At 35.0% G+C, this 16325-nt stretch overlaps 1 protein-coding gene across 8 annotated transcripts in view; it reads left to right on the top strand.

Moving 5' to 3' along the window:
• DGKH (diacylglycerol kinase eta) overlaps positions 1-16325 on the top strand; it is a 216515-nt gene that overhangs the window by 153781 nt on the left and 46409 nt on the right. For 7 of the 8 annotated variants that reach the window (NR_123714.2, NM_001204504.3, NM_178009.5 and 4 more), the window contains 7 exons: positions 1035-1166; positions 4628-4745; positions 5716-5826; positions 5963-6059; positions 12189-12296; positions 15109-15222; positions 15481-15615. Coding sequence is in view for 6 of the 8 variants with exons in the window: in NM_001204504.3 (NP_001191433.1) it covers positions 1035-1166; positions 4628-4745; positions 5716-5826; positions 5963-6059; positions 12189-12296; positions 15109-15222; positions 15481-15615 (815 nt within the window). In the remaining 2 variants the exon portion in view is untranslated. Of the gene's footprint in view, positions 1-1034; positions 1167-1912; positions 2110-4627; positions 4746-5715; positions 5827-5962; positions 6060-12188; positions 12297-15108; positions 15223-15480; positions 15616-16325 lie in introns of all 8 variants that reach the window. The other variant, NR_123715.2, reaches the window with a different exon arrangement.

A 16325-nucleotide genomic window follows, 5' to 3' on the forward strand; every position in this document is an offset into this window, starting at 1 on the left:
TTAAAATTGAGTTTGAGAATTACTGTTTCTTAAAAATACCTACCAGTAACTCCTAAATTGGTTAAAGGTACCATTTGCTCTGCATTAACTTGCCTCAGTTTAGAGTTAAATCTTTCTTCTTCTTGTGTACTTTGAGAATAATTATGTTTTAGAATAATTTTTTAAATGTATTGAGCTTTTACAAGAATATGATAGAACTGTTTGGGCAAATCATCATTTTGAATAAATAATTGAGAAGTACAGGAAAAATACGTTCATTTCACTTGAAGATGGATGCTATTTTTCTTCCATTTATTTGTTTATGTATGAGACAGAGTCTTACTGTGTCACCCAGGCTAGAGTACAGTGATGTGATCATAGCTCACTGCAACCTCAAACTCCTGGGCTCACGTGATCCTCCAGCCTCAGCCTCCCAAGTAGCAGGGACTACAGGTGCATGCCACCATGCCTGGCTAACATTTTTATAGAGGCAGGGTCTCGCTGTGTTGCCCAGTCTGGTCTTCAATTCCTGACCTCAAGTGATCCTCCTGCCTTAGCCTCCCAAAGCTCTGGGATTACAGGCATGAGCCACCACACCTGGCCTCTTCCATTTATTGAAGACAATGTTAAATCATGTTTCACGTGTTTGCTCTGGGAATTACATTAATTAAATTTGATCATTCACTTGATATTTATGAGACAAGGATTACATGGGTAGTGTGCATTATAATACATATGTTTCATTTTCAAAAATGGACTTCAAAAGCTTCATTTATCTTTAAGTGTGCATTGATCATATTCAAATTTTGAGTATTAGTGACCTTTAATTATGGTAGACATCTATTTTCTACTGATATTCATTGATTTGAGATGAGGAATCAAGACTTCTTATTCCCTCCATGTAAGTCTCAAGAAAATGTAAACGATAGCTATGCATAATATTTTCATTTCTACTGATTGATTTAAACATTATTTTATGTTTTAAATTTATAGGAACGTGCTTATTTTTATAGCTTTATCATTATCTCTTTTTAATCTGGACTTTTTGCCAACAGTTAAAACTGCACCTCGGTCTCCAGATGCCCGGGCAAGTTATGGCCATTCCCAAACTGATTCTGTCCCTGGTCCAGCTGTGGCAGCCAGCAAAGAAAACCTCCCTGTGCTCAATACCAGAATAATCTGCCCAGGTAGTACAGATTCTGAAACATCGTGTATTTTTCAGTATTTCTGTGAAAAGGTGTAAGTATTTATTTCTATTACTGTGGAAACATGTTCTTAAAGATAAATATTCTTTAGTAGAATGTTCTTGTTATACTTTCAGTCAGAATCCAGGCCCTTAGATTCTTCCCTGTGTAACAGTTGCCTAGAAAGTATTAAAACACTTGTTTCGGCCAGGTGCAGTGGCTCACACCTGTAATCGCAGCACTTTGGGAAGCCAAGATGGGCAGATCACAAGGTCAGGAGTTCGAGACAAGCCTGGCCAACACAGTGACAAGCCTGTCTCTACTAAAAATACAAAAAAATTAGCTAAGTGTAGTGGTACACCCCTGTAATCTTAGCTACTCAGGAGGCTGAGGCCCGAGAATTGCTTGAACTCGGGAGGCGGAGGGTGCGGTAAGCTGAGATCACACCACTGCACTCCAGCCTGGGAGACAGAGTGAGACTCTGTCTCAGAAAACAAACAAACAAACACATGTTTCTGGGCCCTGCCCTGGGAAATTATGAGTCGGTAGTTCTGGAGTGGAGTCCAGGAATCTGCATTTACTAAGTTCCCAAAGTAAGTCTGAACTTACTAAGTTCTACTACTTCTTAAGCTTTCCTTTGGTGTTTTTTTAGTCAGCATTCTGCTGAATCCTTTTGGTTTTAAGCCATGAGTCTCTCTGTAGTCATTTTTAGACAACATTGATGTAAATTATTCATGATTTTGGATTAGGCAATGATTTCTCAGATATGACAAGCACACGCCACAAAAGACAAATAAATTGGACTTCACCGAAATGAATAGTTTTGTGATTCAAAGGACACTATCGAGAAAGTGAAATGACAATTTAAGAATTTACAAATAATATATCTGATAAAGGACTAGTATCCAGAACATATAAAGAACCCTTAAAATTCAACAATAAAAAGGTAAGTATCTCACTTTTAAAATGAGAAAGGAATCTAAATAGACATTTTCCCAAAGAAAATACACAAATAGCCAGTAAATACATGAAAGGATGCTCAACATCGTTAGTCACCAGGGGAATGCAAATTAAAACCATAATGAGGTGCCCCTTTATGCCACTAGGTTGACTGTGATCAAAATAGACAGATGATAACAAATATTGGCACAGATGTGAAGAAATTAGAACTTTCATGCATTGGTGGTAGGAATGTAAAATGGTGCAGCCATTTTAAGAATAGTTTCACAGTTCCCCAAAAAGTTAAACATAGAGTTTACATGTGACCCAGCAATTTTACTACTAGGTATACACCCAAGAGAATTGAAAATACATGTCTACACAAAAACTTGTTCATGACTATTTATAGCAGCATTCACAATAGCCCCAAAGTGGAAGCAACCCAAACATCCATCAGTTGAATGGAAGAAACAAAAGTGATATATTCATACAATGGAATATTATCTACCCATTAAAAAGAATGAAGCACTGATACATGCTATATAGAAACACTATGGAAAATGAACATAAAAGCCAAATGTAATATGACTGCATTTATATGAAATGCGCAGAATAGTCATAACGCATAGAGACAGAAAGTAGACGGTGGTTCCCAAGGACCTGGAGGTGAGGTGATCGACGGAATGGAAAATGACAGCTAGTGGGTACACCGTTACTTTGCAGGGTAACGAAAAGGTTTTAGAATTAACAGTGATGGTTGCACAACTTTGTGTATATATTACAAACAACTGAATTATCTAAAAACTTTAAAAGGGTTAATTTTATAATATATCAGTTGTATCAGAATAGAAATATTAAAAGAAAAAAAGAAAGATCAATCTGAAACAAACTGGTTCTGGAAAGGCCTTCAGGTTTAGATGCTGTGTTTCTATTCCAACTAGGAACCTTGGGATAACCCCTCTGGAATAAAGCTGAAAGGAATATGGCTAACCCTAAAACATCTTAGAAAATATTAACATGGCTGGGCGTGGTGGCTCACGCCTGTAATCCCAGCATTTTGGGAGGCTGAGGCAGGCGGATCACCTGAGGTCAGGAGTTTGAGACCTGGCTAACATGGTGAAACCCCGTCTCTACTAAAAATACAAAAATTAGCCAGGCATGCTGGCTCACCCCTTTAATCCCAGCTACTTGAGAGACTGAGGCAGGATTATCCCTTGAAGCCGGGAGGCGGAGGTTGCAGTGATCTGAGATCATGCTACTATACTCCAGCCTGGGCAACAGAGTGAGACTCTATCTCAACAAAAAAAAAAAAAAAAAAGAAAGAAAATATTAACACTTCCCTCTAGGGCAGCTGGAGTGTGGCTCTCACCTCTCCAAACTGTTCTTTATGCTTACTAAATTTATTGTTTTCTTCATTCATTTACTTGTTTAGACATAAGGGAAATTGGCATAAAGAAGTATGCCACAGTATATTCAAAACTATGACATTAAACGAAAGAACAAAATTCATTGTATTTGATAATTGCCTAAACATTAAAATAATGAATAATAATAATTCCCTAAGAAGAGCATAGTGCTGAGGAAAGGAATGTTTGCTAAAGAAAGGAATTGCTGGGCATGGTGGCACATGCCCTGTAGTCCCAGCTACTTGGGAGACTGAGGTGGGAGGATCGCTTGAACCCTGGGAGATGGAGGCTGCAGTGAGCTGTGATCACACCATTGCACTCCAGCCTAGGTGAGAGAGTGAGACTCATCTCTAAAAAAAAATAAAATAAAAAGAAAGAACTTGTTTTTCTAATTTCCTCGTGTTTCCCTTGTTCTTGTAGGTTCCTATTAGTTTGTCTCCTCTCCAGTCTTTAGTGCTTCTAGCTTTCATATTGGGTTGAGTAGATCATAAAATTCATTAGCTTTGAATACTGTAACAGTTAGAAAACTAGTTGGAAAGCATGTTGAAATAAATTTGAAGTAAGAGGCTTCATTTTTTATATTTAATACTATATTCTTCTAAAATTCACAGATACCTACATTTAATACTTTACTGCTTATTCTTAAAATTAACACTGAGTTTTCACCTTAATACATCTCTTAATATTTTAAATTAAGTATCATTATCTATGATTTGAGAATATGGAACTGATAACTCCATGACATTTTGGGTAATTCCGCCTTTATTGTAAATTCCTTATAGACTTAATACCATCTTTGCTATAACAAAGGAAGTAAAATGTATTTGTTATAGAATTATTGGGATGGTAAATGAGAAAGTGTCACAAAGCCATTCCTATTTAGGTCCTCCTCTCCTTAATTCTTTATGATAACATATAGATCCTTGGAAGTGTCAAAAGCCTTGTACTCACAAATGTCATTGTTTTTAATTTTCATTAATGAGAAGAGTAGGCACTGAAATAAGGCACTGAAAACCTTGCTTTTAAAAGTAAGATATTTGATATCAGGCCTGGATGGACTGGTTCTTTCTGTGTTTTTTCTTAACATGCGATCCCATATGTGTTTGCTTTTCTTTCCAGGTTTAAGAGCAGGACTGGCTGCCTCAATTGCTGGGAGTTCGATTATCAACAAAATGTTACTGGCAAACATTGATCCTTTTGGTGCCACGCCGTTTATTGACCCGGATCTAGATTCCGTGTAAGAAAATGCTTTTGCAAATATTTTGTTTGGGTTTTTCTTGTTTTTTTTTTTTTTCAACATGAACTGTAACATTTTAAATGTATTACAATAAATATGGTCCCATGTAAAAAAAGGATGATCAGAAAATTACAAAAGTTGATAATGCCAAGCACATTGAGTCTTTTAAAATTCAGTGGTCTCCGTGATCTGTCCCTGAGATAGGTCCTTTTCCAGCCCGTTCTCTCTGAGAGCAACCCTCTGGCAAAGGAAGGCACCAATAAATAGAACTGATGCTATTCCCTTTACCTCCTTTCTTCTCAGTCTTGCCAGATCTGTCATCTTTCCACGTCAGCTTCTAGGTTTACTTATTTTGGGAATCTTTTGGCCCACACTGATCTCTTCCCTTCTTAAGACTCCTACAATTTTTTGGCATTTCAAGATATACTTTCTTTTACTTCCTTTTTAAATTTTGCTTTTGTTATATCATTTCTGTAATGACATTCCTCAAGGAGAGTACCATATTTTAAACGTTCCAAAACACCTGGAAGAATGGATTGGATCTAGTACTTTTTTGCTCAATAAATATTTGTCCATTGTTAAGTGTAGAAATGGAGGGGACTTTCTAATGATAAAAAAGAGAGAGAGAGAATTGGCACCTGACTGTAAAGCCTTCCCATAATCACCTGCATTTTTTCTGTGTAGTGAGGAACTTAAGTAGAAATAGAACTAAGATTTTGTTACAGTTAGAGAAAATCACACCATAACTGTGTGTCTTACTCACCATCCCTTTATGTCACATGTACCAGAAATTGTACACATGTCCTGTGGTTGTACACATGGCATAGGAATAGGAAGTGATTAGTGCTAAGTTTTACAATCTGCTATAAAATGAAAGCTTAAATGGTTTTAAGTACTATCTTGTGTACAAATTGTAATTGTTATAATGAATCTCAAATTGACTTTGATGTACTTTTCCCTGTGATCATAGAGATGGATATTCAGAAAAATGTGTCATGAACAATTACTTTGGGATTGGATTAGATGCAAAAATTTCATTAGAATTTAATAATAAAAGAGAGGAGCACCCTGAAAAATGCAGGTAATTTTAGTAAAAGTAATAATGCTATTACATAAAGGCAATTTTTTCTTCATTTATTATGTCTTTTTGCTTGCTCTGCCTTTAAGGAGTAAATAAATAAAATTTCCTGAAATTGCCTGCCAATATTTATTTTCAGGAGCCGAACTAAAAACTTGATGTGGTATGGAGTCCTTGGAACCCGGGAGTTATTACAGAGATCGTACAAGAATTTAGAACAAAGGGTTCAACTTGAGGTAAGTTCATCTTAAAGTAAAGATATTTCATATTATCTTACTTAAAAAAAATATCGTTTTGGAGCTAATTTGACCTAAATGCGTTTTGATTAGCAATTAAATAAATATTCAAGGGGAAAAATGAATGTGATTATCAACTTTGTACTAAAGGAAGTATATACACAGGATATGAATGACACACTTAATTATCATCATCATTATCTCCTGAAATTGGGGCTACTCTGGAGTTGTGGTGCCCCACGTAAAAGTGGAGCCAAGGGAGCACATTTATAGGAGAGGGTTTTTAATGGATTTTCTCATTTAAGCTTCCAAATTCTGACCCAATTCTGTAATAACAAAAGTTTTTCAAATCCCTGAAAATAGCATTTGAAGTAAATAGAATCTTTTAATTTAAATATACGTTTATTTTTTGCTCCAATTATTTCTAACAACAAGTAAAATTAAAAGAGATTTTGAGCATTTAAATGTTTTACTGTTTTTTACTAATTTAAATAGGAAATTAAGGACAGAAAAAGTTATTTTATTTCTTCCAACAACAGAAACAACAAGGCTGAGGATATAGCTCTAAAAAGACTATTAATTTCTGTGAATTTTATTTTATTTTACCTTTGATCCAGGACTCACTGTTTATGCCGATGGGGCATGTCTTTCCTATCTTGTATCTTTTTGTAACTATATATTTTTAATTAAAGCATATCATACATATAGAAAATTATGAAATCTTAAGTCTACAGCTCAACAAAATAAATAGAACATTATTATTTGGGGTGTTATCCAAACACTGGAATGTGGACTAAAGAGGTGTCTCGCTCATTCTTTAAAAACTATATTTCCTAGTGAAGATGAGCCTATTATACTTTCCACTCTAAACATACAACTGTATGATCAGCTGGTTTGATTTATTATTGCTTATAAAATTAAGATAGACTTACTGGATAAAAAGGTACAAAATCAGGAAGGTTCACATTTTGTAAATGCTATCCTTGACACCCCATACCCAGGTCAGCTTAGGTGCTCTCCTAATCATGTAATCATTCCTTTTTTTCTTCATGTACCCCGGTTGGCCACATTCTTTTTATTTATTTATTTATTTATTTTTTTGAGATGGAGTCTCGCTCTGTCAACCACGCTGCAGTGTAGTGGTGCGATCTCGGCTCACTGCAACCTCTACCTGCTGGGTTCAAGCGATTCTTCTGCCTCAGCCTTCCAAGTAGCTGGAACTACAGGTGCACGCCACCACGCCCAGCTAATTTTTGTATTTTCAGTATACATGGGGTTTCACCATGTTGGCCAGGATGGTTTCCATCTCTTGACCTCATGGTCTGCCCGCCTCGGCCTTCCAAAGTGCTGGGATTACTGGTGTGTGCCACCGTGCCCAGTTTGGCCACACCCAAGGACACATAGGAAGTTGTTTTTATCTTTGTTATCCCCAGTGTTTAGCTCAGCACTGGTCCTATTTTGAGGGTGAAATAGATGGGTAAGTGATCACTTTAGCACAATTTATTAAGTGCTGTGATCAAGCATAGCCAGCTATCTTTAAGGGTTGAAAAACTGGCTGGATCTGAATGGCTGGATGGTCTTAGTTCCTGGAAGAGCCTCAGCTCTTCAGAAATAGGATTAGTAACCTCTTGTACTGGTGTTCCAAATTTTGAACAAGATATCTTATTTACACAGCTGCTTTGTACTCTCCTTTTTAAAAGGTTCTTAATCTTTTTTGAGTTGTAGGCACCTTTGGCATTCTGGTGAAAATAAAGACCCCTTCTCAGAATATTGTTTTCAAATGCATTATATGAAATACAGACTTACAAAAGAAGACTTACCAATAAGATTAAAATAAATTAACAACATATTTTTATGTTGCTAAAGAATAATATATGTGTTTCATCGTTACCGTATCAAATAAAAATCTAATGGCATGTCTAATAAATACCATAACTTCAAAGTGATGATGAACTTATATACAAGATATCTGAAACATCTATAACGTAATATAAAAATGTCTCATTTCGATTGATGATGAAATCACGGGTGTTACTAATGCCTTTTTTCCCCTACATTTATAATTGAGGGCGATGCTAAACTTCAGAGGTTAGTGAACATAAAGATACAGATTTTTACCATGAAGTTAACAAGTCACCTGAATCTATCCATGGACTCCTGGTTTCTGAACCTTAAGTTAAGAACACTTGATATAGATGTATATGTTAAATGATAAGGGAAAATAAAATGAGTAAAACAAGATAAATGAAAACATGTTAATATACATAAAAATAAAGTAGAAAAAGTAGAGCACTCTTTGCCATCATTAACAAAAAATAGTAACAATAAAGTAAACCAAAAAGATACATTCTACTTCTAAAGACGATGGAAGGCCGTTGTCTAAAAATTCATTTTTCTGATGATGGTTCACTCGGGATAAAGGTGGAAAAGAGAGACCCACACCTTGGGAGGCTCTTTCCAGAGAGACGCCTTCACCAATGGCCTTCCTTTTTAGCTTTTTACTCTTACCTTTTTCCTCAGATAAGTTTTCCCTCCCCGTTATGTTGTTGGTATGGAACGAGGCTGACTTCATGTCTTAACTTTAAATTTGTGCAGAACAAAGACTTTGACCTTGGTTTCCCTATATACGAAATTGATAAAATAATGATTTTATGCAAATCATAAATAAATGAGCCCAAGGTACTGTAAATCACAGTGTGAATGGGAAAGAACTGTACAAATGCAAACTTTGTTTCCCAAGCCACATTATCAGTGATTCTGATATATACTCAACTTTCAGAAACTTGGAGTGAGATTTAGAATCCTTTTTACAATGATGGGAATTCCAGAAATGTAAATAACGTCACAGTATCATATTTTGCTACTTTTAGAGTAGAAACACCTTTCACATGTAAATGGAAGAATTGTATTAAAATTCCAAACATTTTTTGTAAGAAGGATGACTTTTTTGCCCATAATATACGTAATTTACATGGGTTAAGGAGACTGTTCTATTTATTAACTGAAATAATAATTATATATTGTTTCAAGTTCTGTAAGTACTAAGATACATGAAGAAAAACAAATAACTTTAAAAAACAGTCTTCATCTGTAGGCTATAATGAAATATGTGATTGAGAACAAGTAGTTGTTTAATTCACATTTTTAGTTATTTCAAATCTTCCCATAATCTGTATCTTTTTAAAAAACAAAATAAATTTAGTTTATTATATTAATAGTAATTTCTGTATTTGTTTAATTCATTTCAGTAATAACTAGTTGTAACTACTTTTTAAATCATTTTGAATGAAGTTTACTGTGTGCCTTCTACATACCACCTTTAATTCTTAACAACTCATGAGGTAGGTATTATTATTCAGTTCGGAAGAGTAAAGGCATTGCTTAAGTTCAAACAGCTGATAAGTGGAAGAGCCAACATTTCAAATCCAGTGTTTTTTCCATAAGACAATTTGTAATTATAACTGAAGAAGGAAATTTACTGACTTCCCACATGTGTTCTAGGTGCTTTTCTTTACCTTATCTCATTGGCCTCACTGTGTGCTAAGAATTGTTAGCCCATTTTACAGATGAGCAAAGTGAAGCTCTAAAAGCTTAAGGGACTTACCCAAATACTAAGTGACAGAATTCAATCCAGCTCCACCATCTTCCCTCCATATCAGATTGTCTGGTGAAAGGAGCAGAGAAAACAAACACTAATGAGAAATATATATATAGCTGCAGTTTTGTAGCATTTTGCAACATCATGAACCACAAATAGAAACATGGGATGGCTAGGGAGCCAGCTCTGGTGGTGTGCACCTATAATCCCAGCTACTTGGAAGCCTGAGGCAGGAGGATTGCTTGAGCCCAGGAGTTCAAGACTGCAGTAAGCTGTGATGGCACCACTACATTCTATCCTGAGCGACAGAGCAAGACCACATCTCTCAAAAAGAATAAATAAATAAAAATAAAGGATATATGGGGCTACTGGAAATATTTTTTAAAAATTTAACACTCCTGAAGTTTTTCCTGGATATGAGAAACTTTTAAATCATGTGAATTTGTTAATTTGTTGAATCTGTATTCCTCGTATTTTTCCTATGAGACTCTATGAAATGGACATTAAGCATTTAGATTTAGATGTGTTGCTTAATATATATATATTCACTTCAGCACCGCACATAGGACTTCTTTCTGAAAATCTTCATCGTTTTCCATACCATGTTTGCAAATAAAGTGCATCCATTTGGAAAATATTTTTAAAATATTTCTTTTATATTTACAGAGATAGTATTTTTCCCCATTTCCTTTGTTAGTCATATGATTTAAAGCAGCTTTTTCTAAAGCACATAAAGATATCTGTTTAATGTATTGGGTTGAGAAAAAGTTTATTATTCTGTTAAGTATTTCATATTTATTCATTCAACAAATATACATTGAGCACCAATTATGTGCCAGACAAACCCCCAGGTGCATGGACCTTTGAATGTGAAAAGCTAAACCTGCTAATGGTTAACACTGTGTTTTCATGAAAAAGAAGAAAAGGAATTGTGAAACATTCCCGTGAAGGTAAATCAACCAATCCTGGCCTTCATCCATTACACCATTCCAATCAGCCAATAACCCTGAGGTCTTCCCAAGAACTGACTTTGGCTGAATTAGCGAACACAAGCTTCTGTGTGATTCTGATGGTGAACATTTTTTGCAGTACTTGGGGATGAGATTAATCTCCTATGCATCCTCACTAAGCTCTTATTCTTCCCCATTCTCAGATTCACAGAGCAGAGAAGTCCCTTACGGGTTGGTCTTGGACCAGCTGTAACAATTTCCAAGTGTTTGCTGGTCTCTGCCCTGGATTTTCACCAGTTTAGCGAGCTAACTTGGAGAATCAGAACCTCACTACTGAATAGACATTAAAGAAAATATTGGTACTCTTGACATTGAGACCTTTTCCTTCCATCTTTGCTAAACCCAAACCATCCTAGACCAGTAGGACTTAATACTCTTTTTAATGAGATGTCCCATTACAGAAACTCTTTCCCTCACCTTGGTTTCTCCCCTAGAACAAATTATTCTCTCACAGTCTCAGAAATACAGTTTATTTCTTTCTGTTGGAAATCATTTTTATTGGGCATTAAAATGTAATTTTTAAGAAGCTATGTTAATTATTTTTAATATAAGAATTATTTAATGAAAATATAGCATCCATTTTAGGTGTGACATCTGTAAGCTGTTCTCTTTTAAAATGAAGGCTTAAACATTTCCATTGGATTTAAATGTTCACTTAGAAAAATGTTAAGTGGTTTGGTTTAAATGTTAATTAAAATAATAAGTATGATCATAAAATGTATGTAACATAATTATGCTCATTTTTCTTGAGTAATTTTTAAAAAATTAGTTTCATAACTAATTGTTTCCTTAATAGCCAACTAGACTTTATTTAAAAGTTAATAGAATAAACAGCATTAATTGAAATTAAGAAACAACATTTATGAGAGAAGGTAACAGTTCTGCTTCTACTCAGTAAGAATTTATTCACATCCATTCACCAGCCATATCCTTTTTTTCCATTTACATGGTAATTTACTTTTCATTTAAGTGCTTAATGAGAAAGTAAGGACTGCAAGGAGCTTTCTGAGATGCATATATTTTTGCTTGACTTTGGTTCTGACTTGTACTTGAAGTATTCAGCTTTGAGTTTCACCAGTCCCCAGGTGGTTGTAGAGCCCCAGCAATGTACCAGGGACTGTGAGAGGGGCTAAGTGAGATGGTTAGGATCAACTTTCTCTTACCCAGTCTGCTTTCAAAAAGATGCTTAAAATAAGTACATAGAGGACCACAATGCAGGTGAAAGTACATAAAAGGCCTGAAAATGATTCAAGAAAAGGACTCCCTGGTTTTGGAGGAAAGAGGTAAAGCATTTCTTTAAAAATCAGTTTTTTGTAATAACTTCTGCTATAGTTATTTATACTTCAAACTTTTTTTAATTAAAAAAAATAAGATAAATGATTTGGTAACGTGTAGAGAGCAGACATTACGAACACACTGTGCTCCATTGTCCTTCATCTTTAGTGTTTTAGTATCTTCCATACTAGTGGTTCTGCTCTTTTTATCTAATCTCTACTTTTTTTTTTTTTTTTTACCTTACAGTGTGATGGGCAGTATATTCCTCTTCCCAGCTTGCAAGGCATAGCCGTGTTGAACATTCCCAGCTATGCTGGAGGCACTAACTTTTGGGGTGGAACTAAAGAGGATGATGTAAGTAATGGGAGTAAATAGTTTGTTTCCTCAAAAATAATTATATCACTGGAATAATTTGCTTTTGTAAATGGGCTGTTGAATAGTAGTTTAATTTCATGTTAAATATTTTGCATTGGGTAAGTGAGGCATGGAATAGATTTATTTAAGATTTTATTGTAACAGTCTCTTGTGGATGTACTCCAACTTTTCTCATGTTGAAGATACAGATATTCGTATCTTGGGATGTATGTCACAATTTTCTGGATGAACATTAAATAGTGGGTCTGCTTTTGGAAAGTAGATTTATGAAATAAGGAAGGGAAGATTTTACTTTTTAATTTTATACCTGCATCTGTTTTCTATCGCTGCTATAACAAGTTAACACAAATTTAGCCACCTCAAACACATTTATCATCTTACTGTTGTATATGATGGGAGACTGGCACAGTCTTACTGGGCTAAAATCAAGGTGTCAGCTGGGCTGTTGCCTTCCGGAGGCTCTAAGGGAGACTCTTATTTCCCTGTCTTTGGAGCGTCTCGAGGCTGCCCACATTCCCCTCCATCTTCAAAGCCAGCAAAGGCAGGTTGAATCCTTCTCACATGGCATCTCTCTGATGTCTGCTGCTTCCTCTTCCACTTTTGATGACCACTGTGATTACATTGGGCCCACCTAGATCACCCAGGATCATCCCCATCTCAAGGCCCTTTATTTAATCACATCTGCAAAGTTCCTTTTGCTGTGTAAGGTAACAGATTCACGGGTTTGGGGGATTAGGACATGGACATTTTAGGGGGCAGAGAGGGGGCATTATTCTGCCTACCACAATACCTTTTGGTACTTTTACTTTTTCTTTCTTTCTTTCTTTCTTTCTTTCTTTCTTTCTTTCTTTCTTTCTTTTTCTTTCTTTCTTTCCTTCTTTCCTTCTTTCCTTCCTTCTTTCTTTCTTTCTTTCTTTCTTTCTTTCTTTCTTTCTTTCTTTCTTTCTCTTTCTCTCTCCTTCCTTCCTTCCTTCCTTCCTTCCTTCCTTCCTTCCTTCCTTCCTTCCTTCCTTCCTTCCTTCCTTCCTTCTTTCTTTTTTGAGACAGAATCTTACTCTGTCGCTCAGACTGGAGTGCAATGGCGTAATCTCAGCTCGCTACAACCTCTGCCTCTCAGGTTCAAGCAGTTCCCCTGCCTCAGCCTCCTGGGTAGCTGGGACTACAGGCACACACCACCACACCTGGCTAATTTTTGCATTTTTAGTAGAGACGGGGGTTTCACCATGTTGGCCAGGGTGGTCTCGAACTTCTGACCTCAGGTGATCCACCCACCTCGGCCTCCCAAAGTCCTAGGATTACAGGGATGAGCCACTGCATCCAGCCTCAGTACTTTTAATTTTCTAAACTTGTGTGTGTATATATTTTTTATTTTCAGAAATATCAAGAGGGCTCATTTGGCCGGTCGAGTTTAGGGCTATTTTTGTTTTTCTTTTCATACTTTTCTATATTAGAAAAAGAAGAAAACACAACCTTACAAATGTAATTGTTGTGAAAAGAATGAAAGAGAGGGCACAATTATTAAAGTGTGTATATATATATATATATATATCAGTAAAAATGAGAAGTGTTATCACAGTCTTTATTTGAAGAGTCACATCCATTGATTTGAGTTTATGATATAATGATATAATGGTTCCTACTGATCTGTTATTCTCAAAGATCTTAAATGGACAGATAGGGATACAGTATAAGATCAATTGGAAAGTATTTGTAATTTTCATGACATAAATATATTCCAGTCCTATTCGAGTATAAAAGCATCTTTTGTCTGCTTGTCACTATTAAGTATTTTGAAGGGGAGAAATCAGTGAGATTAAGGTAAATAAAGCCAACATTCCTTGAACACCTGCTAGGTAGTCCGACAATGTTCTAAGAGCTTCACATTCATTATTTAATGTCCACGTTGTTTATTTGATTTTTACTGCTGAAGAATCTAAGACAAAGTTTCCAGTTAGTAATAGCAGAGACAGGGTTTAAATTCAGGCAGTATAATAAAAAAATTACAAATTACAATGTTAGCAACTTTGTGTCCTGATATTTTCAGTGAAAGTTTTAATTAGCTTATTACTTTATACTGAAAATTGTTTCAGATGCATATTATTTATGATATAGTAAAAGAGAGAGTAAGGTAATACAGCCTACATATAAAATTTTAGAGTAAATTAATTTTGTGAAAATGCATCTAATGTAAAGACAAAATAAGTCTGCATAATTTTTATCTTCTGAGGTTTCTATTTGCATACTCTCAAGTTCCCTCAAAAGTTTTGTATTAAAATATAAAGCACATATGTATATTGCTTGTAAAACCTTGAAAGATTTCCCTTAGAATATATCAAGTAAACTGGATCATAATTTGCATCTTCATTAGCTTTAACTTTATGAAACTATATCACCTTTCTATGACACTATATCGCCTTTGTAGTTTTTTTTAGATTTCCAAAACTTACATGTATCATCTTATTAACATGTTTGAATTAGGTATGAACATGTATTTAACATGTTTTATTCCAAGGTGAATTATTTAGAAATATATTAGTTAACTGGTCCAAAGAGTAGTTTAATGAGAGGTATGAGTAGTATATCCGTGTATATTTGAAAACCCTTTTTAAAGTTAGGTTTATTGGAAGTCATCTTCAGAGATTTTTTTCTTGGATTATTATTTCCTAATAATATTTACTTAAATATATTATTAAATATATTAAATATATGTAGATATATATTGCAGTTTACATTGCTTAACGTGCTCTTCACCTAAACATTCAGTAGAAGTGTAATGTAGTTTTTCTTTCAGATATTTGCTGCACCATCCTTTGATGACAAGATCCTGGAAGTTGTAGCAATATTTGATAGCATGCAAATGGCAGTTTCAAGGGTCATTAAACTGCAGCATCATCGAATAGCCCAGGTTGGTTTCTCTCGTCAAACCTGACTGCACTTCTTGGGCTAAGGAGGGTTGAAGGAATCTATTCTAAACAACTCGTACACTGGATATTCATCTATAATATTCTGACTTTGTTGTCATATCAGTTTTTACCATGTCATTTATAAGTGATAAAGCATAATAGTCTATTCTGTAGAATAGTCTAATACTCAAGCCTTCATAAAGATTGAGTGTCATTTTCTCTGGATGATTTGTACTCTAAAATGATTTGTTTTATTTCAGTGCCGTACAGTGAAAATCACTATATTTGGTGACGAAGGAGTCCCAGTGCAAGTGGATGGTGAAGCGTGGGTTCAGCCTCCAGGGATTATCAAAATTGTGCACAAAAACAGAGCACAAATGCTAACAAGGGACAGAGTATGTAACAAAAACATTCTTCTAGAATATTGTCAGGTTTTTAAAGAATCTGAAATTGTTATAAAAAAATAGAAAATGAAAACATTTAAATTGTCTCTTAAATCTGACATTTAGGTCATGGTGGTTTGAAATATGAACAAATATTTATTTATTTCAGTAGGAGTTTATTTTTTAGAGCCATTTTAGGTTTACAGAAAAACTGGGCAGAAAGTAAAGAGAATTCGAATTACGTTCCTATATACTTCCTCCTCCCCCTTCTTCCCTACACATGTAAATTCCCCTGTTAACATCTTGCATTAGTGTGGCACATTTGTTACAACTGTTGAGTCAATACTGATTGATTATTATTAACTAAAGTCCATAGTTTCCATTACTCTTTGAGTTGTACATCTGTGAGTTTGGACAAAGATATAATCACTTGTATCCACCACTGCAGTATCATACAAAATTATTTCACGACCCTAAAAATTCCTTATGGTCTACCTGTTCATCCCTCCTTCCCTTACCCTTACTCCTGGCAATCATTGATTTTTTTTTTTTTTTTTTTACTGTCTCTATTATTTTTCCTTTTGCAGAATATGTTTTTAATTAAGGTCTGTCTTTATCAAAGAAGACTGCTAATATTTGCCCATCTAGTATATATAAAATAGTAAAGATTAAAGAATAAATTGAAGCAATAGTAAAGATTGAAGCATGAAATATTTTTTTGT

This window comes from Homo sapiens, chromosome 13, assembly GCF_000001405.40.
Source record: "Homo sapiens chromosome 13, GRCh38.p14 Primary Assembly".
NCBI classification, from domain to species: Eukaryota; Metazoa; Chordata; class Mammalia; order Primates; family Hominidae; genus Homo; species Homo sapiens.